Source organism: Homo sapiens, chromosome X (genome assembly GCF_000001405.40).
Source record: "Homo sapiens chromosome X, GRCh38.p14 Primary Assembly".
Taxonomy (NCBI): domain Eukaryota; kingdom Metazoa; phylum Chordata; class Mammalia; order Primates; family Hominidae; genus Homo; species Homo sapiens.
Window position 1 is genome coordinate 611,233 of NC_000023.11, and position 27,926 is coordinate 639,158.

Here is a 27,926-nt window from a genome sequence, read left to right on the forward strand (position 1 = left end):
TTCTTGAGACAGAGTGTTACCCTGTTGCCCAGGCTGGAGTGCAGTAGTGCCATCTTGGCCCACTGCAACTTCTGTCTCCCAGTTTCAAGCAATTCTCCTGCCTCAGCCTCCCGAGTAGCTGGGATTACAGGTGCATGCCACCACGCCCAGTTAATTTTTGTATTTTTAACACAGATGGAGTTTCACCATGTTGGCCAGGCTGGTCTCAAACTCCTGACCTCAGGTGATCCACCCGCCTCGGCTTCTGAAAGTGCTGGGATTACAGGCTTGAGCCACTATGCCTGGCCCACTTTTTTTTAATCCTGTACATTATTGATGTACACTGAGGTTGATTCCATGCCCTTGCTGTTGTGAACGGTGCTGTGGTCAACATCCAAGTACATATAATGACTTCTTTTCCTTTGGGTAGAAACCCTTTCTGAGGATGGCTGGATGGAACACTAGTTCTACTCTTAGTTGTTTGAAAAATCTCCATACTATTTTCCATAGAGGTTGTAATACTTTACATTCCCACTGGCAGTGTACAGCGTTGCCCTCTCACCATATCATCACCAACATCTGTTGTTGTTTGACTTTTTAATAATGGCTATTCTGCTGGTGTGCGATGGTATCTCATTACGGATTTGTTTGGAATTTCTCCTGTCCTTGTTTTATCTGCTTATCATGCACTTCCCTCCAGGGTCTCATAACCCCTTCCCTCACTTCCCCAAGATTCTGCACTAAATGTCACTTTAACTTCCAACTCTTTCTTTTTATATAAAAAAAATTATTTCCATAGGTTGTTGTGAACAGGTGGTGTTTGGTTACATGAGTAAGGTCTTTTTTTTTTCTTTTGTTTGTGTGTGTGTGTGTTTTTTTTGTTGGTGGTGGTGGTTGTCTTTTTTTTTTTTTAACAATAGTTGGCATTTATTGACCCAGATAATATCCAAGGCAAGTCAACAATGGCATCATAAATATTAATGAAGTCCTTCCATAAACACTATATGTTATTGGCATTATTTCCCCAGTACATCTCTATAAAGACATTGAGTCATAGCAAAAAGTGAGTCAGTATAATTTGAGAGCCTGGACCATTAATGACTTAGCTATAATCAATTTAGTAAGTAAAACGATTTTCCATTTGAATTTGTTTCTTTGGTTATTAGTGAGATGAACACATTTGTAATATTTTAGTAGAATATTTGAATCTTTTAATAAATGACCCTCTCAACACATTTTCATTAATCTGTTGCAGTGATTGTTCATTTTATACCGACATGAGTAATTTCTTTAGTGGCGACTGGTGAGATTTTGTGGCACCCATCACCTGAGCAGTATACACCAAACCCAATTTGTAGTCTTTTATCCCTCACCCCCTTCCCACTCTTTTCCCCAAGACCCCAAAGTCCATTGCATCCTTGTTTTGTTTTGTTTTGTTTTGAGATGGACACTCAATCTGTTGCCCAGGCTGGAATGCAATGGTGCGATCTTGGCTCACTGCAAGTCCCCAAAGTCCATTGCATCATTCTTTTGTTGTTGAGACAGAGTCTCGCTCTGTCGCCCAGGCTGGAGTGCAGTGGTGCAATCTTGGCTCATTGCAACCTCCACCTGCCAGGTTCAAGTGATTCTCCTGCCTCAGCCTCCCGAGTAGCTGGGATTACAGGTGCCCACCACCATGCCTGGCTAATTTTTTGTATTTTTAGTAGAGACAGGGTTTCACCATGTTAGCCAGGATGGTCTCCATCTCCTGACCCCATAATCCATCCACCTTGGCCTCCCAAAGCACTGAGATGACAGGCATGAGCCACTGCACCCGGCCCAGTCCATTGTATCATTCTTATGCTTTGCCCACTTATGAGTGAAAACGTACAATGTTTGGTTTTCCATTCCTGAGTTACTTTACTTAGAATAATTGTCTCCAGTTCCATCCAGATTGCTAAAAATGCCATTAATTGGTTCCTTTTTATGGCTGAGCAGTATTCCATCATATCCTTGACTCCCAGCTCCTTCTAAACAGCTCCTGCACCCCATCTCCTTCTCTCTCCCTCCATCTCTCTTTCTCTCTCTCACTTTTTCTCTCTCTGTATTTAGAGACAGGCTCTCACTCTGTCAACGAGGCTGGTGTGCAGTGGTGAAATCACAGCTTACTGAAGCCTCAACCTCTTGGCCTCAAGCAATCTTCCCACCTCAGCCTCCCAAGTAGCTGGGACCACAGGTGCACACCACCATGCCTGGCTAATTTCTAGTAGAGAGGGAGGGTCTCACTATATTGCACAGGCTGGTCTTAAACTCTTGGGCTCAAGTGATCCTCCCACCTCAGCCTCCCGAGTAGCTGGGACCACAGGTGCATGCCACCAAGCCTGGTTAATTTTTAATAGAGAAGGGGGGGTCTCCCTATGTTGCCCAGGCTGGTCTTAAACTCCTGGGCTCAAGCAATCCTCCCACCTCAGCCTTCCAAGTATCTGGGGCCACAGGTGCACACCACCATGCCTGGCTAATTTCTAGTAGAGAAGGAGGGTCCCACTATATTGCATAGGCTGGTCTTAAACTCTTGGGCTCAAGTGATCCTCCCACCTCAGCCTCCCAAAGTGCTGGGATTACAGGCGTGAGCCACTTCACCCAGCCCCAATCACTGTCAGACTCCCAGCCTTTCAGTCTACTTACCGTCTTGTGAGATTGTATCTGATTTTCGACTGATGTATTTCCTGATTGGCTGTGTCCTCCAGTAAGATGGGAACTCGGTGAGAACAGAGAATGTACTTCTGTATTTCCCTCTCGTGTGCCTGGAAGACAAGCAGGTGCTCGTCTAAGTGGGTGGATCTGTTTCTTCTTGCTGCTGTAAAAAGTGATCCTAAATGCAATGGTTCCAAACGGCACCTCTTCATCATCCTACGGTCACTGTGAGTCAGACATCAGGCACAGCGTCGCCAGCTGCATCCCCTCCTCAGAGCCTTCTATGGCCACAATTATGAGATCCACGCAGTAGGCTCTGACTGAGGGTCCTAAGAGATGGTCCATGTCCGCATTCAGGCAGGTCATTTGCCCAAGCTCAGTTCCTTGGGGTTGCAGGAATGAGGTTCCCAATGCAGGACCTGGCTTTGCTCTTGGAGGTGCTCATGGTCCTTCTCCTGCCCCCACCTGGGACCCCTGTAGCAAGGGCAGGCTGAGTTTCTCTGTGCTTGGAACCCTCCTGATGCCGTCTTCTCCTTGTCTCTCTGACTCCAGGCACAGAAAGTTCTTTGCTATGGAGAGCGCATCTGATTAGATTGGACCCACTTGGATAAGTTTGGCAAACTGAATCCCATCTTTAAAGTCCCCTTTGCCATCCAAGGTCATATTGAAGCTTAGAAAATGATACCCTAAATGAAGGCTTTATCAGCAGCCTGAGAGGCAAATGTTTCTCTCTTTGACCTTCTCTTATCCTCCTGCCTCTCAGTCCCATTCTCCTCTGAGACACCACCAGAGAAACTAGAATTTTTCTTCCCCCCACATGGGTCTTGGAATTCAGAACTTCTTTTCCTCAAAGACATCATAGAAACTAGAATCCCTCTTCCCCAGCACGGGTCCTAGAAACAGGACCCCCCCAAGCCAGGCACTGTGGCTCACACCTGTAATTCCAGCACTTTGGGAGGCCAAGGCAGGTGGATCACCTGAGGTCAGGAGTTCGAGACCAGCCTGGTCAACATGGTGAAACCCTGTCTCTAGTAAAAATACAAAAACTACCAGGCGTGGTGGCAGGCACCTGTCATCCCAGCTACCGGGGAGGCTGAGGCAGGAGAATCGCTTGAACTTGGAAGGCGGAGGTTGCAGTGAGCCGAGATTGTGCCACTGCTCTCCAGCCTGGGTGATGCAGCAAGACTCAGTCTCCAAAAAAAAAAAAAAAAAAAAGAAACAGGAACTCTTTTCCCCCAAAGACATCATAGAAACTAGAATCCCTCTTCCCCAACATGGGTCCTAGAAACAGGAGCCCCCAAGCCGGGCACGGTGGCTCATGCCTGTAATCCCAGCTACTCGGGAGGCTGAGGCAGGAGAATCACTTGAACTCGGGAGGCAGAGTTTGCAGTGAGCCAAGATCGTGCCACTGCACTCCAGCCTGGGTGACAGAGCAAGACTCAGTCTCAAAAAAAAAAAAAAAAAAAAGAGAAAGAAAGAAAGAAAAAAAAGAAACAGGAGCCCTTTTTCCCCAAAGACACCAGAAAAACTAGAATCCATCTTCCCCAACAGGGGTTCTAGAAACAGGAGCCCCCAAGCCAGGCGCCGTGGCTCACACCTGTAATCCCAGCACTTTGGCAGACCAAGGCAGGTGGATCACCTGAGGTCAGGAGTTCAAGACCAGCCTGGTCAACATTGTGAAACCCTGTCTGTAGTAAAAATACAAAAACTCCCAGGCGTGGTGGCAGGCACCTGTCATCCCAGCTACTGGGGAGGCTGAGGCAGGAGAATCGCTTGAACTTGGAAGGCAGAGGTTGCAGTGAGCCGAGATTGTGCCACTGCTCTCCAGCCTGGGTGATGCAGCAAGATTCAGTCTCAAAAAAAAAAAGAAACGGGAGCTCTTTTTCCCCAAAGACACCATAGAAACTAGAATCCCTCTTCCCCAACATGGGTCCTAGAAAGAGGAGCCCCCAAGCCGGGCACGGTGGCTCACACCTGTCATCCCAGCACTTTGGCAGACCAAGGAGGGCAGATCACCTGAGGTCAGGAGTTCGAGACCAGCCTGGCCAACATGCTGAAACCCTGTCTCTAGTAAAAATACAAAAACTCCCGGGCGTGATGGCGGACACCTGTCATCCCAGCTACCGGGGAGGCTGAGGCAGGAGAATCGCTTGAACTCGGGAGGCGGAGTTTGCAGTGAGCCAAGATCATGCCACTGCACTCCAGCCTGGGTGACAGAGCAAGACTCAGTCTCAAAAAAAAAAAAAAAAAAAAAAAAAAAAAAAAAAAGAGAAAGAAAGAAAGAAAAAGAAACAGGAGCCCTTTTCCCCCAAAGACATCAGAAAAACTAGAATCCATCTTCCTCAACATGGGTCCTAGAAACAGGAGCCCCCAAGCCGGGCGCGGTGGCTCACACCTGTAATCCCAGCACTTTGGGAGGCTGAGGCGGGCAGATCACCTGAGGTCACGAGGTCGAGACCAGACTGGCCAACATGGTGAAACCCCGTCTCTACCAAAAATAGAAAAAATAGCCAGGCGTGTTGGTGAGCACCTGTAATCCCAGCTACTCGGGAGGCTGAGGCAGGAGGATCGCTTGAACCCGGGAGGCGGAGGTTGCAGTGAGCCAGGATCACACCACTGCACTCCAGCCTGGGCGACTGAGCAAGAGTCAGTCTCAAAAAAAAGAAAGAAACAGGAGCTGTTTTCCCCCAAAGACACCAGAGAAACAAGAATTCCTCTTCCCCCATATGGATCCTAGATACAGGAGCCCCTTTTCCCCAAAACCAGCCATAAAACCCAAAAATAAGACTCTAACTTTCCCTCTACCGTATCTGTATAAAAACCGGTCATAAGGAAATTCGCTGACATACATTGTTTGACTGAAGGTCCTACGACCCCCATTTCAGAGAAGACCCTGCCCCACACCTAAAAGAAAGGAACGCCGCTCAGAGAGGCCGAGAAGATTCTAGACAGACAGGCCTGGCTCTGTTTCCCCACTTAGTCCATTAGCCTTAGGTCAAAGCCCTTTTTGTGCAATCCTGTTTCTACAGGGCTTTGTTAAACCAAAGCACAAAAATGGATAATTTCCCTTTTATCTTTGGGTCTTCCTTTTGAAGCCTCCTGTGTACACACGTGACATAAATGTGTATGTGTTTTCTCCTATTCTATTTTTTTTTTTTTTTTTTGAATCGGAGTCTTGCTCTGTCGCCCAGGCTGGAGTGCAGTGGTGAGATCTTGGCTCACTGCAACGTCTGTCTCCCGGGTTCAAGTGATTCTACTGCCTCAGCCTCCGAGTAGCTGGGATTACAGGCACGCACCACCACGCCTGGCTAATTTTTGTATTTTTAGTAGAGACAGGGTTTCACCATGTTGGCCAGGCTGGTCTCGAACTCCTGACCTCAGGTGATCCGCCCGCCTCGGCCTCCCAAAGTGCTGGGATTGCAGGCGTGAACCACCGCGCCTGACCTCTCCTATTCTTCTGCCTTTTGCAAATTAATTTTTCAGCAAACTTTCAAAGGGCAAAGCTCCCTTGGCCCCCACAGTAAGACAGTCACAGCTTCCGGGGATGAGGGTCTGGATATCTCTTTTTTTGAGGGGGGTGGGGAGATGGGGGCTGGCGTCATTCCATCCCCCACAGGGCTCAGGTACTATTTAATCACTCACAGAATCTGCAAACAGGACCCTTTCACAGCTGGCTTGATCCTGATGCCTGCCTGCGGGCAGTGATGCCTTCAGAGCTCTGTGAGTCTTTTTCCTCCGGGGAACACAGGAATGTCTCCAGCACTCTGGGAGATCAGATCCTCCTAAAGCACCGCAGCCCGTTTTGCAGCAGAAAGGATTTTGGGAAAGCAAATGAGCAGAATAAAAGCTGCAGAGGGTGAAAATGATGGTGTCTCCCTCCAGACCGCAATGGTGTCAGGTACCCTCTGGACCCCCAGGTTGTCACCTCCCCTCCAGACCCCTACGTTCTCATGTCTCATGTCCCCTCCACACACCCACGCTGTCATAGCCCTGGGCATCGTGGCCTGTGTGCAGAAGAACCTCTCGTCCTTGGAGACCCAGAGTCCCCAAATCACCTGGCCACACGGGGGACCCCAGTCTTTCTGGTCCAACCTGGCTGCACCCTGAAGTCACGGAGACCTAGAGACCCCAAAACATGTCCCCCAAAGACACCTTACTGCGCCCTGGTGCAAGGGGCCCCACTCCCAACCTGGAAAGCTGCCTTCCTGACTCCCACACAGACCCCAGACCCGCTGGGAAGGCCCTGGGCGTTTCAGAACTCCCCTGGCCAAGCTCCTGAAACCCCAGGAACTGTGACTCCTCTGAAAACAGGGGTGGGAGTCACTCCCACCTCCCCGCTGCCAGACCCAGGGCTACAGGGTCACGGAGGCAGCCTCAACAGGTGTGGTAGGATGACAGCTGAGGCCAGCAGGCACACAGCATAATGAATGAATGAATGGATGGGTGAATGAATGGATGGATGAAAGGATGAATGAATGAATGGATGGATGAAAGGATGAATGAATGAATGGATGAATGGATGAATGGATGGCTGAATGGATGAATGGATGGATGAATGGATGGATGAATGGATGAATGGATGGATGAATGGATGGATGGATGGATGAATGGATGAATGAATGGATGAATGGATGAATGGATGGCTGAATGGATGAATGGATGGATGAATGGATGGATGGATGGATGAATGGATGGATGAATGGATGGATGGATGGATGAATGGATGGATGAATGGATGAATGGATGGATGAATGGATGGATGAATGGATGAATGGATGAATGGATGGATGAATGGATGAATGGATGAATGGATGAATGGATGAATGGATGAAGGAATGAATGGATGAAGGAATGAAGTGAACCCAGGGCAGTCCCCTGCCTGCAGTATCTCCCCACACACCTCAGGGCTTTCTTAGCTGCGGCGAGCGGACAAGTGCCCTGAGCTAGACTCCCTGAGTGACCAGTGCAGACAGCTGTCCGCTCAGATCCCCCGGGACCCTCAGCCAGTGGCACAGAGTAGCTCTCCTGCCCACGCCTGCAGAAGCAGACATGCCCGGGTGGTTTATCCTGCGTGGCTGGGGGCGTGGGGGTGGCTGGGCTGTCGCTTGCTCCCACCCCTACCCCGGGTGCGCCCCCTGCCCCGTGCGCTGCGGGGGAGAAGAGCGGGGCGGTGCGCAGAGCGCAGAGCTGGGCTCCGGGCGAGAGTCCAGCCCGGTCGAGCTCAGGTCTCTCGCCCCAAGCTTCGCCTCGGGCCAGGAGGCTGAGCTGCGGGTGGAAACCGCCCTCCCCTGCCTCGCCCCGGGGCCCCCTCCCCCGCACTCCGGCCCGGGCCGGCGCCTGAGCTCCCCAATTAGCCCGGCTGCACTCGGACCTCCCCCAAATCCCTCCCCCAGATCCCTGCCCCGCACGCTCCTGCCTGGAGACCCCGCGCGCTCTGCGCTCCCCGCCTTCCCAGCCACCGCGGGTCAAGTTCCCCAGTGAGCGCAGGGCATGACCGGGGCGCATCCCCGGCCCCCCAACAGGCAGCCTTGGGCGGTCAGCGCGGGCGCCTCATTAGTAGGGTGGGATGAAGGGTTCCCCGGAGAGACGCAAGGCGAGCCCCCACCCACCCACCCACCGAGGCCCTGAGCATGGATAAGCGCCCCCAGTCCGGGCACCGTGGGGGACCCCTAGGGTCGTGGCCTCGCGGGCTGGTCCAGGAGCGCCCAGGAGCCTGGGGCAGGGGTGGGGGTGGGGGTTCCAGGACCGGCACGTGGGGGCCCCAGAACCCCTGCGCTCACCCGCGGGGTCGAGCTGTCTCTCCAGAAGCTGCGCTTGGTCAGGACTTGGGCCTTGTCCCCGCGGAAGTTCTGTTCCAGGCCAGCCCCCGGAGGCAGGAGGATGGGGAGGAGGCGGCCAGGTCTGCGGCACAAATTAGGCCATTAATTCCTGCCTGCTCCTAGAGAAGGCAAAGTTTCTGTCCTGGAATACGTTTCCAAAGACACAGCTTCTGGAAGGGGAAGGGAAAGGATGGAGAGGCTGCGCGGTGCTGATTCCACCCGACAGGCAATGCTCGCGTTCCTTGGAGTGGGAGGGGTCGGGGCGATGAGAAACCTCTGGGGGATCGGGGCAGGTGGACACGCGCGCTCGGAGCTGTCCAAGGCCTGGTCTCCCCGGCGATGACCCTACCCAAGAGTCAGGTCCCCACCTCAGGGAATCCTCCCGTTCCTTGGAGTTGGGGGGATGGGAGCGATGGGAAACCTCTGGGGGCTTGGGGCAGGTGGATAGGCGCGCTCTGGGCTGTCCAAGGCCTGGTCGCCCCAGGGCTGGCCCTACCCAAGGGTCAGGTCCTCACCTCAGGCCTCAGCCGGGGAGGAAGGCGGTGAACCAGGCACGGTGCCCTGTGCGCGCTCCTCGCTCTCCGGAGGCTCGGGGCCCCGTGTCCCCGCCGCGCCCCTGGGTGCCATTCGCGTTCTGCCGAAGCTTCTAGTCTTGGGAAGCAAAGTGTGCCTCTTCCTGGCTCTGCGCGGTGGAGGTCTTCGTTCCTTTCATCTGCGTTTTGACGTTGGAGAGACGTGGCCAAAGACTGGGAGCCTGTTTGGGAGTCCTGCCAATTTCTTAAGCCGGTGCGTCCTGGGGACGCGAATCCCGCGTCTGGGGCACGGGCAGGAGGAAGGAAGGACCAGTTCTTTTTCTGTCCCCTTGCGGAGGCCCGTGCCAGAAGTGGAAATGACAGTCGAAATACACCTCCAAGATGTGTTCCTCAGAACATGAATGACCGCAGAAAGGGGGCTGAATTTATTCCTGGCGAGGGAGGGCCGCCCCTTCTTTGTGCAGCGGTGGCCTCCAGCAAACGGCCTTGCTGGGTTTCTTCTTCGTGACAAAGGCCTTTGCTCCCTGAAAAACATAACGTTTTTCTTAAACAAATAAGAGTTTTCTTAAATAAAACATAGAGGCCCTGTGATTAAATCCGAAAGGAAAGAGGTCTAATGCCCACCATATGTTGCAAAGTACATGCTAAGGTTTAAAAGAGAGAGAGAGAGAGAGAGAGAGAGAGAGAGAGAGAGAAGCAAATTCCACAGAAGGTCCCTGAGAAAAAGCAAACAACGTTTTCTCCTAGGAAGTTTTACTTTAAAAATTGCAAGTTTGCATGGTGGGGTATTTTAGAGACACCCTCTCCTGCACACACACACACGTAGGTACTAGGACTTGTAGAAAAAGCGAGATAAAATGAAACAAATAGAAAAAAAAAAACCCCACAGAAAAACAAAGCTACATTCCCAAGGCAGGTCCTTAGACACATATGGTCAGCCAGGCCTCTAGAGAGAAGAAAAAACCAACCAGGGCCTACGTGCCCTTTTTAAATATTATAGAGGTTGCCCTTGTCCACTGGATCAGTCTCAGCCATTCACGAGCCAGACTGACAAACCTCACTTTAATGAAAATCTATTAGCTTCACGCGGGCAACGTGGATGTTTGCGTCAATCAATAAACAGCGTCGGAGGGAGTACAAATCCAGGTTTCTGACTTTAAAAGGGGAGGGGGAAGGAAAAAAAAAACAACAAGAGTTCGTCTAGGAAACGTGTTGAGACGTCTGTAAAATTCTGAAACCCTAAATACATCCTTATACATATTTAATGTGCGGGGAGGGGTTGGTGGTTGTTATAGGGGCCGAACCTTGGTCCGAGACCATGAATACCCACCCTTCCGTGCTTATCATGAATAGAAATGGCCTTTCGAATTATGTGCTTAAAAAAAAAGTGGGCCACATGGAAGGGGTATTTCTTGAAATAGCTGTAGGAGATATACCTAACGTCAATGACGAGTTCTTGGGTGCAGCAGACCAGCATGGCACATGTATACGTATGTAACTAACCTGCACGTTGTGCACATGTACCCTAAAACTTAAAGTCTAATAAAATAAAATAAAATAAAATAAAATAAAATAAAATAAAATAAAATAAAATAAAATAAATAAAATAAAAAGAAAAGTGTTTCCTCCCTGGCTGGAGGACCCAGGAGGAGGTCCCAGTTTTCCGGTGGGGATGGGCGTGGAGTAGGGGGCGGGGAAGGGATGAGGGCCTTAGGTTCTGCATCAGGAGGGCTGGAGGCCCCAGAGGGCCCCGTACAAATGCCTCTCTGCAATTAAGAGCTCTGGGCGTGAAATTTGATTTAAAGTAAATACATCAGGTTCCAGAGAGCGGAGCTTCGTTGGAGCTAAAACTGAAAAAATATAATCAAAGCCATACTTTTCGGGAGTTAAAGAAATCAAGTGTTCAGTATTTGAAGGTTCACGGCTTCTATTCCCCTTGGTGCTGCAAATGACAGAGAGAGAGAAAGGAGAGAGAGAAAGAAAAGAGAAGAGAGAGAGAGAGAGAAGACAGAAAGACAGAGACAGAGAAGAGAGAGAAAAGACAGAGAGAAGAGAGAGGACAGAGAGAAAGAGAGAGAGAGAAAGACAGAGAGAGAGAGAGAAGACAGAGAGAGAAAGAAAAGAGAAGAGAGAGAGAAAGAAGACAGAAAGACAGAGAGAGAGAAGAGAGAAAGAGAGAGGAGAGAAGAGAGAGAGGAGAGAGAGAAGACAGACAGAGAAGAGAGAGAAAAGAGAGAGAGAAGAGAGAGAAGAGAGAGGACAGAGAGAAAGAGAGAGAGGAGAGAGAGAAAGACAGAGACAGAAGAGAGAGAAAGAGAGAAGACAGAGAGAAAGAGAGAGAGGAGAGAGAGAAAGACAGAGAAAGAGAAGATAGAGAGAGAGAAGACAGAGAGAAGACAGAGAGAGAGAGAGAAAGACAGAGAGAGAGAAGAGAGAGAAAGACAGAGAGAAGACAGAGAGAGAGAGAAAGACAGAGAGAAGACAGAGAGAGAAAGACAGAGAGAGAGAAGATAGAGAGAGAAGACAGAGAAGACAGAGAGAGAGAGAAAGACAGAGAGAGAGAAGAGAGAGAAAGACAGAGAGAAGACAGAGAGAGAAAGACAGAGAGAAGACAGAGAGAGAGAGAAAGAGAGAGAGAGAAGACAGAGAGAGAAGAGAGAGAGAAAGAGAAAGACAGAGAGAGAGAGGACAGAGATAGAAAGAGAGACAGAGAAGACAGAGAGAGAGAGAAAGACAGAGAGAGAAGAGAGAGAAAGAGAGAGAGAGAAAGACAGAGAGAGAAGAGAGAGAAAGACAGAGAGCGAGAGAAAGACAGAGAGAGAAGAGAGAGAGAAAGACAGAGAGAGAGAAGACAGAGAGAGAGAAAGAGAGCGAGAAGAGAGAGAGAAAGACAGAGAGAGAGAAGACAGAGAGAGAGAAAGAGAGCGAGAAGAGAGAGAGAAAGACAGAGAGAGAGAGAAAGAGAGAGAAGACAGAGAGAGAAGAGAGAGAGAAGACAGAAAGACACAGAGAGAGAGAAGACAGAGAGAGAGAAAAAGTCAGAGAGAGAAGACAGAGAGAGAGAAAAAGACAGACAGAGAAGACAGAGAGAGAGAAAAAGACAGACAGAGAAGACAGAGAGAGAGAAAAAGACAGAGAGAAGACAGAGAGAAAGAGAGAGAAGAGAGAGAGAAGACAGAGACAGAAAGCGAGAGAAAGACAGAGAGAGAAAGTCAGAGAGAAGAGAGAGAGAGAGCAAATGACTTATTCCTTAAAACGTACCTAATTCACATAGAAAAAGCCAGATTATTTGATAAAGTGGGCCAGTCTCAGAGTTCCTTCCTCTTCGCAGCCATCCTAAGCGCGTTCCTCGAGTTTCCCCCCAGCAGGTGCGTTCTAGAAAGCGCTGGTCAGGACGCATGGCTGCCCCATAGATTTCTTGGGGACGGGAGTGAGAGACGCCTGGACGCCCAAGCGCAAGCCTCCAGCCTCCAAGGTCCTACAACAGATACAGCAGCTACTGAGTCTCCTCTCTGGTTTCTTTTCCGCCCCTGGGGAGAGAAAAGAGAAGGGGAGAAACGTCACCACCAGCAACTGCTCCCAGCCAGCAAGACGCACGGCGGGGAGGCCGGGGCTGGCCGCGTCCTGCAGCTCCTGAGCTGCGTGTCTGAGCTTTTCCCAGCCCCGCCTGCGTCTCCAGGGGCGAAATAAGAAGCAAATCTTGCTGGGACCGAGTTCAGGTCGAGGAACTCCGGGACCCTCTGCAGCCTCAGCCCTGCCGCGCTCCCCGCAGCTTCGGGCCTGTTGCGGGGAGTTGGGGAGGAATTCAGGGAAGGGGGGAACCAGGCCGGGATAAGAGGCTCCGGCTTGCTGTGGGCTGCATGACGGGGTGCAAAGGCGAGGAGAAGCCCCTGGGATCCTGGCTCGTCTGCTGCGGGACCCCCAGCCCCGGCGGGCGGACCGCGGAGAGCGCTGTCCCGGATCCGGAGATTCGCTTTTCCTTTGCGACTGCGGGGCTGGCGCGCGCGCGCGAGGGGTCAGCACCCTGGGCATTGGGGTCAATGCAACCAGGGCAGGTCCCTGGGGGGCCCCCAGGAGCCAATAGGGGTCTTCGAGTCACCCTGCGGCCGCCTGCTTTTGCCCGGGTCCTGAGAACAGGGGCTCCCCACACTTTTTTTTTTTTTGGTTTTGTTTTATTTCGTTTCCGCGCGTCTCTTTCTACTGCAAACAGAAATGGGAGGGTGGACAGGCGGGTAGGAGCGGATCAGACGCCCAGGACGCAGCAGCCCGAGTCCGCACAGGGTTTGCGGGAGGTGGTGACCGCGCTGGGGACGCCAGGACGCGAATGAACCTCCGGGGCGCGCTCGGGGCCTGCGCTCAGAGCTTGGTGAGCTCGGTTTTGGAACTTTCCTTTTCTTTTCCAGAAAGCTTTGCCTTCTTTCCTTTCTTCGTTCCTTCCTTCCTTCCTTCCTCTCTTCCTCTTTCTTTTCTTTCTTTCTTTCTTTCTTTCTTTCTTTCTTTCTTTTCTTTCTTCCTTTCACTTGGCAAGATTGGTTTTGGAGCTTTCCTTTTCTTTTCCAGAAAGCTTTGCCTTCTTTCCTTCCTTCGTTCTTTCCTTCCTTCCTTCCTCTCTTCCTCTTTCTTTCTTTTCTTTCTTTCTTTCTTTCTTTCTTTCTTTCTTTCTTTCTCTCTTCCTTTCTTTCTTTCTTTCTTTCTTTTCTTTCTTTCACTTGGCAAGATTGCTTTTGGAGCTTTCCTTTTCTTTTCCAGAAAGCTTTTTCCTTCCTTCCCTCCTTCCTTCCTTCTCTCCCTCCCTCCTTTCCTTTCCTCCCTCTGTTCCTTCCTCCCTCCCTCCCTCCTTCTCTCCCTCCCTCCCTCCTTCCCTTTCTTTCTTCTTTCTTTCTTTCTCTTTCTTTTTTCTTTCTCTTTCATTTCTTTCCTCTTCCTTCCCCCATCCTCCCCCTTCATCGTCCCTCCTCCTCCTCCTTCTCCTCCTCCTCCTCCTCCTTCTCCCTCCTCCTCCTCCTTCTACTCCTTTTCCTCCTCTTCCCTCTGCCATTTGTCTCTTTCCCCTTTGCGTTTTTATTCGCAGTCGTTGTTTTTGTCCATCCACTAACTTCTCTGAAACCTGATTCTTTTGGGACGCTTGGCAAAAGGCATTTCATACAGGGAGGCGGTCACATACGCTAACAAGACACGGTGAAAAGTCTCTTCTCATCGGCTTGGTGTGCTGCTCTCTTCTCTCTCTCGCTGTCTCTCTCTGTCTGTCTCTCTGTCCCCTGTCTGTCGCTATTTTTCTCTGTCTATCTCTGTATCTCTGTCTCTCTCTTTCTCTCCTCTGTCTCTCTGTATCTCTGTCCATCTCTGTCTCTCTTTCTCTCTCTCCTCTCTCTCTTTTTCTCTGTCTCTGTCTGTATCTCTATCTCTGTCTCTCTTTCTCTCTGTCTTCGTTCCTCTCTCTCTTTTTTTCTCTCTTCCTCTGTCTCTCTTTCTATCTCTGTCTCTCTCTCTCCTCTCTCTCTGTCTCTTTTTCTCTGTCTCTGTCTGTATCTCTGTCTGTCTCTGTCTCTCTTTCTCTCCTCTCTCTGTGTCTCTGTCTCTGTCTCTCTTTCTCTCCTCTCTTTTTCTCTGTCTCTGTATCTCTGTCTATCTCTGTCTCTCTTTCTCTCTCTCCTCTCTCTCTTTCTCTGTCTCTGTCTGTATCTCTATCTCTGTCTCTCTTTCTCTCTGTCTTCGTTCCTCTCTCTCTTTTTCTCTTTCTCTGTATCTCTGTCTATCTCTGTCTCTCTTTCTCTCTCTCCTCTCTGTCTCTTTTTCTCTGTCTCTCTCTGTGTCTCTACCTCTGTCTCTCTCTCTCCTCTCTTTTTCTCTGTCTCTGTCTGTATCTCTGTCTATCTCTGTCTCTCTCTCTCCTCTCTCTCTTTCTCTGTCTCTGTCTGTATCTCTATCTCTGTCTCTCTTTCTCTCTGTCTTCGTTCCTCTCTCTCTTTTTCTCTTTCTCTGTATCTCTATCTCTGTCTCTCTTTCTCTCTCTCCTCTCTCTCTGTCTCTTTTTCTCTGTCTCTCTCTGTGTCTCTACCTCTGTCTCTCTCTCTCCTCTCTTTTTCTCTGTCTCTGTCTGTATCTCTGTCTATCTCTGTCTCTCTCTCTCCTCTCTCTCTTTCTCTGTCTCTGTCTGTATCTCTATCTCTGTCTCTCTTTCTCTCTGTCTTCGTTCCTCTCTCTCTTTTTCTCTTTCTCTGTATCTCTGTCTATCTCTGTCTCTCTTTCTCTCTCTCCTCTCTCTCTGTCTCTTTTTCTCTGTCTCTCTCTGTGTCTCTACCTCTGTCTCTCTCTCTCCTCTTTTTCTCTGTCTCTGTCTGTATCTCTGTCTGTCTCTGTCTCTCTTTCTCTCCTCTCTCTGTATCTCTGTCTCTGTCTCTCTTTCTCTCCTCTCTCTCTTTTTCTCTGTCTCTGTATCTCTGTCTATCTCTGTCTCTCTTTCTCTCTCTCATCTCTCTCTGTCTCTTTTTCTCTGTCTCTCTCTGTGTCTCTACCTCTGTCTCTCTTTCTCTCCTCTCTTTTTCTCTGTCTCTGTATCTCTATCTCTGTCTCTCTTTCTCTCTCTCCTCTCTCTCTTTTTCTGTCTCTGTCTCTCTGTCTGTCTCTGTCTCTCTTTGTCTCTCTCCTCTCTGTCTCTTTTTCTCTGTCTCTCTCTGTGTCTCTACCTGTGTCTCTCTTTCCTCTCTCTTTTTCTCTCTCTGTCTGTATCTCTGTCTACCTCTGTCTCTCTCTCTCTCCTCTCTCTCTGTCTCTTTTTCTCTGTCTTTCTGTCTCTCTATCTCTGTGACTCTTTCCCTCTCTCCTCTCTCTCTCTTTTTCTCTCTCTCCCTGTCTCAGGGAAGCATCAGTAAAACCTCCAACAAGCACCCCCTTGTACACAGCCCAGGCCAAGAGAGGTGCAGACCCTGCTTTCTGCCTGCAGCCGCCTGCTGTAAAATGTCAATGCAAAACATTTCATACAGTCCACCCACTCTGCAGACTGGAGCTGCGGCCTCTCGGACAGCGTCTTGAATTGGCAACGAAAAACGTGTGGGGTAGAAAAAGCTCTCGTCTGGATTTCTAACATGTTATCAAGCACTCAAACGCTGGGTGTTTCCTGCCTGTCTTTAAAGGGAAGGGCAGGGAGAGAACGTAAAAGCTCTGGTCAGAGAAGGGAAAGGTCTTTAGGTGAGAGGGGTGAGGCCGCCTCCGTGCTCATCCCACAGGAAGAGTTGGAGTTTTACAGAAAGATGAGATCTCTTTCGCGTAGCCAGAAACTCTTAGGAAAAGCGGGGTGTTGGAAAGGCAGAAAGTGTGCCATGAATCGGACGTGCGTGATTTCAAAGCCACTTGTCTGCAGTGAGAATTACAATTGGGGCTTCAGTTGAAAAAGGGCCTTTGCTTTTTCTCCGAGGCCGAGGGGCCTTGAATAGCCACACAGCTCCTGACTGGTGTCCCCATGCTCATTCCTGGAGGCTCGGACACCCTGGTAGAGCGGAGTTTCCTACTAGACAAAGGGGTCCAGATTGCGGCCCAAGAAGGAACCTCAGGTCGGGGAAAGCCTGGGCCTCACGGGACCCCCCAGGAAAGCCTGGTCCTTGGGGTTGGAGAAGACAGCTGAGCTGGGAGGACGGAGGGTTTTCGGTAGGGAGACAGTGAGCAGCTGTGAGAGGTTTACGGCGCAGTCCCTGGGGACCCAGTTTCCCAGCAGAGGCAGAGATGGGGAGGCCTTTAGAAGCAGAAAAGTTACCCGGCCTCTGAGGACCCAGAAAGTTGCTCTAAGCCAGAGACCCTTCTCCGAATCTCCCTCTCTGTCTGTCTCTGCCTCTCTCCCTCTTTCTCTTCCCCCTCCCTGTCTCCCTCTCTGTGTCTCTGCCTCTCTTTGTCTCTCTCTGTATCTCTATCTGTGTCTCTCTTTTTCTCTCTCCATCTCTCTGTCTCTCCGTTTCTCTCTTTCTCTCTCCCTCTCTCTCCCTGTCCGTGTCGCTCTTTCTCTCTCTCCATCTCCCAGTCTCTCCCTTTCTCTCTCTCCATCTCTCCCTGTCTCTCTCTTTCTCTGTCTCCATCTCTTTCTCTGTCTCTCCTTGTCTCTCTCTTTCTCTCTCTCCATCTCTCTCTGTCTCTCCCTGTCTGTTTCTCTCTCTCCATCTGTCTGTCTCTCCCTTTCTCTCTCTCTGTCTCTCCCTCTCTCTCCCTGTCTGTGTCTCTCTTTCTCTCTCTCCATCTCTCTCTGTCTCTCCCTGTGTTTCTCTCTCTCCATCTCTCTCTGTCTCTCCCTGTCTGTTTCTCTCTCTCCATCTGTCTGTCTCTCTCTTTCTCTCTCTATCTCTCCCTCTCTCTCCCTGTCTGTGTCTCTCTTTCTCTCTCTCCATCTCTCTCTGTCTCTCCCTGTGTTTCTCTCTCTCCATCTCTCTCTGTCTCTCCCTGTCTGTTTCTCTCTCTCCATCTGTCTGTGTCTCTCTTTCTCTCTCTCCATCTCTCTCTGTCTCTCCCTGTCTGTTTCTCTCTCTCTATCTGTCTGTCTCTCTCTTTTTCTCTCTCTATCTCTCCCTCTCTCTCCCTGTCTGTGTCTCTCTTTCTCTCTCTCCATCTCTCTCTGTCTCTCCCTGTGTTTCTCTCTCTCCATCTCTCTCTGTCTCTCCCTGTGTGTTTCTCTATCTCCATCTCTCTGTCTCTCCCTTTCTCTCTCTCTGTCTCTCCCTCTCTCTCCCTGTCTGTGTCTCTCTTTCTCTCTCTCCATCTCTCTCTGTCTCTCCCTGTGTGTTTCTCTCTCTCCATCTCTCTGTCTCTCCCTTTCTCTCTCTCTGTCTCTCCCTCTCTCTCCCTGTCTGTGTCTCTCTTTCTCTCTCTCCATCTCTCTCTGTCTCTCCCTGTGTTTCTCTCTCTCCATCTCTCTCTGTCTCTCCCTGTCTGTTTCTCTCTCTCCATCTGTCTGTGTCTCTCTTTCTCTCTCTCTATCTCTCCCTCTCTCTCCCTGTCTGTGTCTCTCTTTCTCTCTCTCCATCTCTCTCTGTCTCTCCCTGTGTTTCTCTCTCTCCATCTCTCTCCGTCTCTCCCTGTCTGTCTCTTTCTCTGTCTCCATCTCTCTCTGTCTCTCCTTGACTCTCTTTCTCTCTGTCTCCATGTCTCTGTCTCTCCCTGTCTGTGTCTCTCTTTCTCTCTCTCCATCTCTCTCCGTCTTTCCCCCTCTGTCTCTTTCTCTGTCTCCATCCCTCTGTCTCTCCCTTTCTCTCTGTCTTTCCTTGTCTCTCTCTTTCTCTCTCTCTCTCCATCTCTCTCTCTCCCTGTCTCTCTCTCTCCATCTCCCCGTCTCTCCGTTTCTCTCTCTGCCTCTCCCTGTCTGTCTCTCTCTTTCTGTGTCTTACACACACCCCAACCCACCGTCACTCATGTCCCCCCACTGCTGTGCCATCTCACACAAGTTCACAGCTCAGCTGTCATCCTGGGTCCCCAGGCCCCGCCGGGGAGGAAGATGCGCCGTGGGGTTACGGGAGGAAGGGGACTCCGGGCCTCCTGGTGCCCCACTTTATTTGCAGAAGGTCCTTGGCAGGAACCGTGACGCGTTTGGTTTCCAGGACTTGGAAAACGAATTTCAGGTCGCGATGGCGAGCACCGGCTTCCCCTGAAGCACATTCAATAGCGAGAGGCGGGAGGGAGCGAGCAGGAGCATCCCACCATGAAAACCAAAAACACAAGTATTTTTTTCACCCGGTAAATACCCCAGACGCCAGGGTGACAGCGCGGCGCTAAGGGAGGAGGCCTCGCGCCGGGGTCCGCCGGGATCTGGCGCGGGCGGAAAGAATATAGATCTTTACGAACCGGATCTCCCGGGGACCTGGGCTTCTTTCTGCGGGCGCTGGAGACCCGGGAGGCGGCCCCGGGGATCCTCGGCCTCCGCCGCCGCCGCCTCCCAAGCGCCCGCGTCCCGGTTTGGGGACACCCGGCCCCTTCTTCTCACTTTCGGGGATTCTCCAGCCGCGTTCCATCTCACCAACTCTCCATCCAAGGGCGCGCCGCCACCAACTTGGAGCTCATCTTCTCCCAAGATCGTGCGTCCCCGGGGCGCCCGGATCCCCCCCTCGCCATCTCAACCCCGGCGCGACCCGGGCGCTTCCTGGAAAGATCCAGGCGCCGGGCTCTGCGCTCCTCCCGGGAGCGAGGGCGGCCGGACGACTGGGACCCTCCTCTCTCCAGCCGTGAACTCCTTGTCTCTCTGTCTCTCTCTGCAGGAAAACTGGAGTTTGCTTTTCCTCCGGCCACGGAGAGAACGCGGGTAACCTGTGTGGGGGGCTCGGGCGCCTGCGCCCCCCTCCTGCGCGCGCGCTCTCCCTTCCAAAAATGGGATCTTTCCCCCTTCGCACCAAGGTGTACGGACGCCAAACAGTGATGAAATGAGAAGAAAGCCAATTGCCGGCCTGGGGGGTGGGGGAGACACAGCGTCTCTGCGTGCGTCCGCCGCGGAGCCCGGAGACCAGTAATTGCACCAGACAGGCAGCGCATGGGGGGCTGGGCGAGGTCGCCGCGTATAAATAGTGAGATTTCCAATGGAAAGGCGTAAATAACAGCGCTGGTGATCCACCCGCGCGCACGGGCCGTCCTCTCCGCGCGGGGAGACGCGCGCATCCACCAGCCCCGGCTGCTCGCCAGCCCCGGCCCCAGCCATGGAAGAGCTCACGGCTTTTGTATCCAAGTCTTTTGACCAGAAAAGCAAGGACGGTAACGGCGGAGGCGGAGGCGGCGGAGGTAAGAAGGATTCCATTACGTACCGGGAAGTTTTGGAGAGCGGACTGGCGCGCTCCCGGGAGCTGGGGACGTCGGATTCCAGCCTCCAGGACATCACGGAGGGCGGCGGCCACTGCCCGGTGCATTTGTTCAAGGACCACGTAGACAATGACAAGGAGAAACTGAAAGAATTCGGCACCGCGAGAGTGGCAGAAGGTAAGTTCCTTTGCGCTCCGGCTCCAGGGGGGCCCTCCTGGGGTTCGGCGCCTCCTCGCCACGGAGTCGGCCCCGCGCGCCCCTCGCTGTGCACATTTGCAGCTCCCGTCTCGCCAGGGTAAGGCCCGGGCCGTCAGGCTTTGCCTAAGAAAGGAAGGAAGGCAGGAGTGGACCCGACCGGAGACGCGGGTGGTGGGTAGCGGGGTGCGGGGGGACCCAGGGAGGGTCGCAGCGGGGGCCGCGCGCGTGGGCACCGACACGGGAAGGTCCCGGGCTGGGGTGGATCCGGGTGGCTGTGCCTGAAGCCGTAGGGCCTGAGATGTCTTTTTCATTTTCTTTTTCTTTCCTTTCCTTTTTTTGTTTGTTTGTTTGTTTGAGACAGAGTCTCGCTCTGTCCCCCAGGCTGGAGTGCAGTGGTGCGATCTCGGCTCACTGCAACCTCTGCCTCCTGGGTTCAAGCGATTCTCCTGCCTCAGCCTCCCCAGTAGCTGGGATTACAGGCATGCACCACCACGCCTGGCTAATTTTTGTGCTTTTAGTAAAGACGGGGATTCACCATGTTGGCCAGGCTGGTCTCGAACTCCTGACCTCAGGTGATCCACCCGCCTCGGCCTCCCAAAGTGCTGGGATGACAGGCGTGAGGCACCGCGCCCGGCCTGGGTCCTGACGGCTTAGGATGTGTGTTTCTGTCTCTGCCTGTCTGCCTTGTATTTACGGTCACCCAGACGCACAGAGGAGCCGTCTCCACGCGCCTTCCCAGCGCTCAGCGCCTGCCGGGCCCCCGGAGATCACGGGAAGACTCGAGGCTGCGTGGTAGGAGACGGGAAGGCCCCGGGTCAGCTCGGTTCTGTTTCCTTTAAGGAACCCTTCATTATTATTTCATTGTTTTCCTTTGAACGTCGAGGCTTGATCTTGGCGAAAGCTGTTGGGTCCATAAAAACCACTCCCGTGAGCGGAGGTGGCCGGGATCTGGATGGGGCGCGAGGGGCCCCGGGGAAGCTGGCGGCTTCGCGGGCGCGTCCTAAGTCAAGGTTGTCAGAGCGCAGCCGGTTGTGCGCGGCCCGGGGGAGCTCCCCTCTGGCCCTTCCTCCTGAGACCTCAGTGGTGGGTCGTCCCGTGGTGGAAATCGGGGAGTAAGAGGCTCAGAGAGAGGGGCTGGCCCCGGGGATCTCTGTGCACACACGACAACTGGGCGGCATACATCTTAAGAATAAAATGGGCTGGCTGTGTCGGGGCACAGCTGGAGACGGCTATGGACGCCTGTTATGTTTTCATTACAAAGACGCAGAGAATCTAGCCTCGGCTTTTGCTGATTCGCAGAGTTGAGGTGCGAGGGTGAATGCCCCAAAGGTAATTCTTCCTAAGACTCTGGGGCTACCTGCTCTCCGGGGCCCTGCATTTGGGGTGTGGAGTGGCCCCGGGAAATAGCCCTTGTATTCGTAGGAGGCACCAGGCAGCTTCCCAAGGCCCTGACTTTGTCGAAGCAGAAAGCTGTGGCTACGGTTTACAAAGCAGTCCCCGGTTTCTGACCGTCTAAGAGGCAGGAGCCCAGCCTGCCTTTGACAGTGAGAGGAGTTCCTCCCTACACACTGCTGCGGGCACCCGGCACTGTAATTCATACACAGAGAGTTGGCCTTCCTGGACGCAAGGCTGGGAGCCGCTTGAGGGCCTGCGTGTAATTTAAGAGGGTTCGCAGCGCCCGGCGGCCGCTTCTGTGGGGTTGCTTTTTGGTTGTCCTTCGCAGACACCGTTTTGCTCCTCTGAACTCTCTCTTCTCCCCCTGGCCGTGGACCCGGGAGAGCAAAGTGTCCTCCAGACCTTTCGAAAGTGAGAGGAAAATAAAGACCAGGCCAAAGACCCAGGGCCACAGGAGAGGAGACAGAGAGTCCCCGTTACATTTTCCCCTTGGCTGGGTGCAGAAAGACCCCCGGGCCAGGACTGCCACCCAGGCTACTATTTATTCATCAGATCCAAGTTAAATCGAGGTTGGAGGGCAGGGGAGAGTCTGAGGTTACCGTGGAAGCCTGGAGTTTTTGGGAACAGCGTGTCCCCGCCGAGCCTGGGAGCCCGTGGGTTCTGCAAAGCCTGCGGGTGTTTGAGGACTTTGAAGACCAGTTTGTCAGTTGGGCTCAATTCCTGGGGTTCAGACTTAGAGAAATGAAGGAGGGAGAGCTGGGGTCGTCTCCAGGAAACGATTCACTTGGGGGGAAGGAATGGAGTGTTCTTGCAGGCACGTGTCTGATAGGAGGTGAAACAGAATGTGAAATCCACGTTGGAGTAAGCGTCCAGCGCTGAATGTAGCTCGGGGTGGGGTGGGAGGGCCCTGGTGTGGATCGTGGAAGGAAGAAAGACAGAACAGGGTGCTAGTATTTACCCCGTTCCCTGTAGACACCCTGGATTTGTCAGCTTTGCAAGCTTCTTGGTTGCAGCGGCCTTGCCTGTGCCCCTTTGAGACTGTTTCCAGACTAAACTTCCAAATGTCAGCCCCTTACCCTTGACAGCAAGGGACATCTCATTAGGGCATCGCGTGCTTCTCATCTGTGCTCAGCAGGCCCGAGATAGGAACAGAGGGGCGTTGGAGATGCCACTTCCACCAGCCCTGGGTTGAAGGGGAGCGAGGGAGACACCTTTTACTTAAACCCCTGAGCTTGGTCAGAGAGGCTGAATGTCTAAAATGAGGAAGAAAAGGTTTTTCACCTGGAAACGCTTGAGGGCTGAGTCTTCTGCCCTTCTGACTCCCCCAGCAAATACAGACAGGTCACCAACTACTGGAGATGAGAAAGTGCCATTTTTGGCACACTCTGGTGGGGTAGGTGCCCGACCGCGTGTGAAAAAGTGGGAAGGAGAGATTTCTGCGCACGCGGTTCAGCCCCCAGGCGCGGTGGCGCATTCAGGTACTCAGACGCGGTTCTGCTGTTCTGCTGAGAAACAGGCTTCGGGTAGGGGCTCCTAGCTCCGCCAGATCGCGGAGGGACCCCCAGCCCTCCTGCGCTGCAGCGGTGGGGATAGCGTCTCTCCGTAGGCCTAGAATCTGCAACCCGCCCCGGGTCCTCCCCGTGTCCTTCCCGGGCGTCCCGCCGGGGATCCCACAGTTGGCAGCTCTTCCTCAAATTCTTTCCCTTAAAAATAGGATTTGACACCCCACTCTCCTTAAAAAAAAAAATAAGAAAAAAAGGTTAGGTTATGTCAACAGAGGTGAAGTGGATAATTGAGGAAACGATTCTGAGATGAGGCCAAGAAAACAACGCTCGTGCAAAGCCCAGGTTTTTGGGAAAGCAGCGAGTATCCTCCTCGGCTTTTGCCTTATGGACCCCACGCAGTTTTTGCGTCAAAGCGCATTGGTTTTCGAGGGCCCCCTTTCCACCGCGGGATGCACGAAGGGGTTCGCCACGTTGCGCAAAACCTCCCCGGCCTCAGCCCTGTGCCCTCCGCTCCCCACGCAGGGATTTATGAATGCAAAGAGAAGCGCGAGGACGTGAAGTCGGAGGACGAGGACGGGCAGACCAAGCTGAAACAGAGGCGCAGCCGCACCAACTTCACGCTGGAGCAGCTGAACGAGCTCGAGCGACTCTTCGACGAGACCCATTACCCCGACGCCTTCATGCGCGAGGAGCTCAGCCAGCGCCTGGGGCTCTCCGAGGCGCGCGTGCAGGTAGGAACCCGGGGGCGGGGGCGGGGGGCCCGGAGCCATCGCCTGGTCCTCGGGAGCGCACAGCACGCGTACAGCCACCTGCGCCCGGGCCGCCGCCGTCCCCTTCCCGGAGCGCGGGGAGGTTGGGTGAGGGACGGGCTGGGGTTCCTGGACTTTTGGAGACGCCTGAGGCCTGTAGGATGGGTTCATTGCGTTTGTTTTTCACCAACAGCAAACAAATATATATACATATATATTATACAAATAACAAATAAATATATATGTTATACAGATGGGTATATTGTATATATTATAGATATTTGTTCGTCCTTGGTGCAAAGACACCCGGTGAACCCATATATTGGCTCCTGACTGCCTTCGGTTCCCCTGGGATTGGTTATAGGGGCAACACATGCAAACAAAACTTTCCCTGGATTATACTTAGGAGACGAAGCTACAGATGCGTTTGATCCAGAGTGTTTTACAAGATTTTTCATTTAAAAAAAAATGTGTCTTTTGGCCCCTGATTCCCCTCCGTCTTCCCGTGTGGCTGCATTGAAAAGGTTTCCTTAGGATGAAAGGAGAGGGGTGTCCTCTGTCCCTAGGTGGAGAGAAACAGGGTCTTCTCTTTCCTCCGTTTTTTCACCTACCGTTTCTATCTCCCTCCTCCCCTCTCCAGCCCTGTCCTCTGCTACAAACCACCCCCTCCTCCCTCCGGCTGTGGGGAGCGCAGGAGCACGTTGGGCATCTGGATGAGCGGAGACTATTAGCGGGGCACGGGGGCTCCCCGAGGAGCGCGCGAATTCACGCTGCCCCATGAGACCAGGCACTGGGGGGCGGAGGGGCCTTGGGTGTGCGCAGAGGGACGGGCGGGCAGAGCCTTCCTCCGCATTCTAAACATTCACTTAAAGGTATGAGTTTATTTCAGGGGTGCTGCTGGGAGAGCCTCCAAATGGCTTCTTCCAGCCCCTGCCTGACAGTTCAGCTCCCCTGGAAGGTCAACTCCTCTAGTCCTTTCTCCTGGTTCTGGGCAGGACAGAAGTGGGGGGAGGGAGAGAGAGAGAGAGAGAGAGAGAGAGACGGTCAGGATCCCCGGACCCTGGGGACCCCGTCAAAAATAAATGAAATTAAGATTGCCGACCAGAGAGAGAACCGTGACAAAGCAAACGGCGTTCAAAGCAAAGAGACGAACTGAAAGCCCGTTCCCGTAGGACTGGTTATGAGGTCAACACATTCAAACACAGCTTGCTCTCGATTTTGCTGAGCAGAGGAAGATACAGATGCATTTGATCCAAAGTGTGTTACATCTTTCATTATATGTGTGTCTCTATATATAAACATATATAAATATATAAACATACATAAATGTATGTAAATATATATAATCTATATACATATATAAATATATAAACACATATATAATATATAAATCTATAAACATATATAATATATAAACATAAATATATAAACATATATAATATATAAATATATTAACATATATAAAATATGTATAAATATATATAAACATATAAACATATATAAATATATAAACATATATAAATATATACAAACATATTGTATATATATAAATATATATAAAAACATATATATACATATAAAAATATATATAAACATATATACATATAAAGAAATATATATAAACATATATACATATAAAATATACATATATAAACATATATATACATAAAATATATATATAAACATATATATACATATAAAAATATATATAAACATATATACATATAAAGAAATATATATAAACATATATACATATAAAATATACATATATAAACATATATATACATATAAAGAAATATATATAAACATATATACATATAAAATATACATATATAAACATATATATACATAAAATATATATATAAACATATATATACATAAAATATATATATAAACATATATATACATATAAAAATATATATATTAACATATATATACATATAAAAATATATATATATTTTTGGCCCCTGATTCCCTTCGGTTCCTGTGGGATGGGTGATTGAGTCAACACATTCAAACACAACTTTTCCATCGATGTTGCTTAGGAGATGAGGATACAGATGCGTTTGATGGAGAGGGTTTTACGAGCTCTTTCATTTAAAAATATATATATATATATATATATATTTTGGCTCCTGATTCTCTTCCGTCTTCCCATGTGGCTGCATTTTAAAAGGCTTCCCTAAGATCGTTAGGATTAAATCAACCCTCCCCAGGCATCTTTACCGAGGGCTGTGGTCCCCAAAGCGATACAGCCCAGGAGGGAGAGAGGCTTTGGTGACTTGGAGGAAGGACTGTGTCCCTCCTTAGGGCGTCTGTGGCCTCAGTGAGGGAAGGAAGCTGCATCAGACAGGGGTTTCCTCGCTGTCCACCCCTCTGGCAGAAGATGGATTGGGCTGCCCCGTATAAATTAATGAAAAGATTAAAGTTTCGCTAAAGGGGACATCGAGTTTATGTGTCATCTCCTGGTGTCTGTGTGCCTGGGATCTGCAATATATCCCAGCCCTTGATGTACTGTTTCTATAAAAATAAATTACTTGTAATTTAATTCCACACTATTTCTTTCCGTAGTCTATTACCGACGAGAGCACGTTAGTTCAGCTGCGGAAAATTGGTTGTGGGGTGTGTGCGGACCCCGAGAACGCCCTAAAATAAAGACAAATCGGGGACAAGCTGGGGGTTATCGATTGCAGGGGTCGCATGAAAATTTAACGACGGTAAATAATAATAACAACAAACATGGGAATGCAATAAAAGACATAATTCTCCATCGCCGCGGGGGGAAAGGATCCTATAGTAAAGGCGAGTGCGCTTTGAGGGGTCATAAAAATCAATTAGTTCCAACACCCACGTCCCGCGTTGAGGGGACGGGGACGAGCAGGGACAGAAAAAGAAACCATATTTGAATCCCATCTCTCTGTGAATTCTTGGGTCACATGCGTCTCAGTACAGCCCGTCCCGTGCTGTGACCGGATAGAGTTTCAATTTACTGTGGAAATTTGCTGTAAATAAATTGAGCATCCGATAGAAGCTGTTGCTGATTAACCTTTTATTTTTAGCGTGGCCCTGCAAAGTCGTATCACCCAGCTGTCAGGCTTCTAATCGAAAGTTATGAGACCACGGTGAGGGGCAGGCGGTAATTTAATTACAACAAATATCTTTGGGTTTATGGCGCAGAGCTAAATTAAATGTCATTATTCACTGTCTGTAATGGAAATCAAAAGGAAATCGCATTACGGCATTTGGGAAAGAAAGCGGGGAGTGCTCTTTAATGAAGAAATAACTGTCTTAAGCAGTGTCACACACTTCACTTACCATATTCGGGCCTAATTGGAATGGATCGTGAATCACTCCAAGACTGATTTATTAGCGCTTCACGCAGCGGCTAATTCATCACTTGTATTCTTCATCATTTTTTTTTTTCCTCTCGCCGTGTTGAAGGGAGAGTGAATGAGGCTTTCCACGTTTCAGGAGGATTTTCTTTTTTGAAAAATGCCCTTCCAGAGGCTTTTGGGTGGCTGGCTTGCTTTCTGGGCCCTGGAGGAGACAGGCGGAGAGTCCAGGTGGGCATGGAGAGGCACAGTGGCAGGTCACCTGGATGGTCAGTGGAGGTGGAGGTCTGAAGGCGCCAGCTTTGGAAATTATTGGTGAATTTCGATGTCAGCACCAGGCAGGGGCCTTTTTGGCGGGGGTGTGAGGGAGGATGACTTTGCTGGGAAACAGGATCAGGTTCTCCAGGCGCACTGCAGCCCGGTAGGACCCACTTTGGAAATGAAAAGCCAGTTCCGAAAGCTGGGCTGGAAGCTTCCGTGTTGGGTTCAAGAGCAAGTTCACGTTGCGCTGTGTAGACTCCTGGCTGCTCCCAAACTCTGAGGGTTTTCTGAGGTTCCCTTCATAGGGGCACCGGCCCTGGGCCATGCACAGTGTGTAAGGGTGGCTGTGGGCCGAGGGACCCAGCACGTGTTTTGCCCACAACAGCCGGAGTGACTGGTTCACTCACCGCCTTGGCGGAGGACGCCTGTTCTCTGGACGAATCATTTCTCTTGGGTGGTGACTGCCTTGTGGGTCAAGGTGCAGGTTTTCTGCCACAGAAAACCTGTTAGGAGGAATTAAGCGACTAAGACTGTCAGGGAGGTGGTGGTGGGGGAGAGGAGGGGGTGGTGTCCAGATTACCAGGCATAGGCTAAACTGCCTGCACTCTCCAGCTGGTCTGTCTGTGGAGGAGGGGATTGTCAATACTGGGAGAGCAGAGGAGGCTCGTAGGAGGTGAGAGGGGGTGGAATTTGCATGCAAATCTTCACATGAGGCCTGTGT

The 27,926-nt window shown here is 51.1% G+C and overlaps 1 protein-coding gene across 2 annotated transcripts in view, besides 5 other annotated features; it reads left to right on the plus strand.

Moving 5' to 3' along the window:
* Window positions 12,080–12,947: an enhancer, noted in NCBI's record as "OCT4-NANOG-H3K4me1 hESC enhancer chrY:534047-534914 (GRCh37/hg19 assembly coordinates)". NCBI's record gives its function as "activates a minimal SCP1, AML or CMV promoter by ChIP-STARR-seq in primed H9 embryonic stem cells {active_cell/tissue: H9 hESC(primed)}" and the evidence as "EXISTENCE:reporter gene assay evidence [ECO:0000049][PMID:30033119]".
* Window positions 13,112–27,926, plus strand: part of SHOX (SHOX homeobox) — a 35,068-nt gene continuing 20,253 nt past the window's right edge. The window contains exons 1-3 of one of the 2 annotated variants that reach the window (NM_006883.2): window positions 13,112–13,370; window positions 19,234–19,942; window positions 23,386–23,594. In NM_006883.2, coding sequence (NP_006874.1) covers window positions 19,666–19,942; window positions 23,386–23,594 — 486 coding nt within the window. In that variant the 5' untranslated portion in view covers window positions 13,112–13,370; window positions 19,234–19,665. Of the gene's footprint in view, window positions 13,371–19,233; window positions 19,943–23,385; window positions 23,595–27,926 lie in introns of those variants that run through there. The other variant, NM_000451.4, reaches the window with a different exon arrangement.
* Window positions 21,821–24,902: a meiotic recombination region, noted in NCBI's record as "meiotic double-strand break mapped by DNA meiotic recombinase 1 chromatin immunoprecipitation followed by single-stranded DNA enrichment and sequencing in the germ cells of some male individuals with the PRDM9 A/A, PRDM9 A/B and PRDM9 A/C genotypes". NCBI's record gives the evidence for it as "EXISTENCE:chromatin immunoprecipitation-seq evidence [ECO:0000229][PMID:25395542]".
* Window positions 21,821–25,043: a biological region, named in NCBI's record as "meiotic recombination hotspot SHOX".
* Window positions 22,044–25,043: a meiotic recombination region, noted in NCBI's record as "crossovers mapped in sperm cells of males of northern European ancestry". NCBI's record gives the evidence for it as "EXISTENCE:DNA detection assay evidence [ECO:0005519][PMID:12089524]".
* Window positions 23,122–23,138: a nucleotide motif, noted in NCBI's record as "nucleotide motif; similarity to the predicted 16-mer PRDM9 C-type binding motif, CCNCNNTNNNCNTNNC".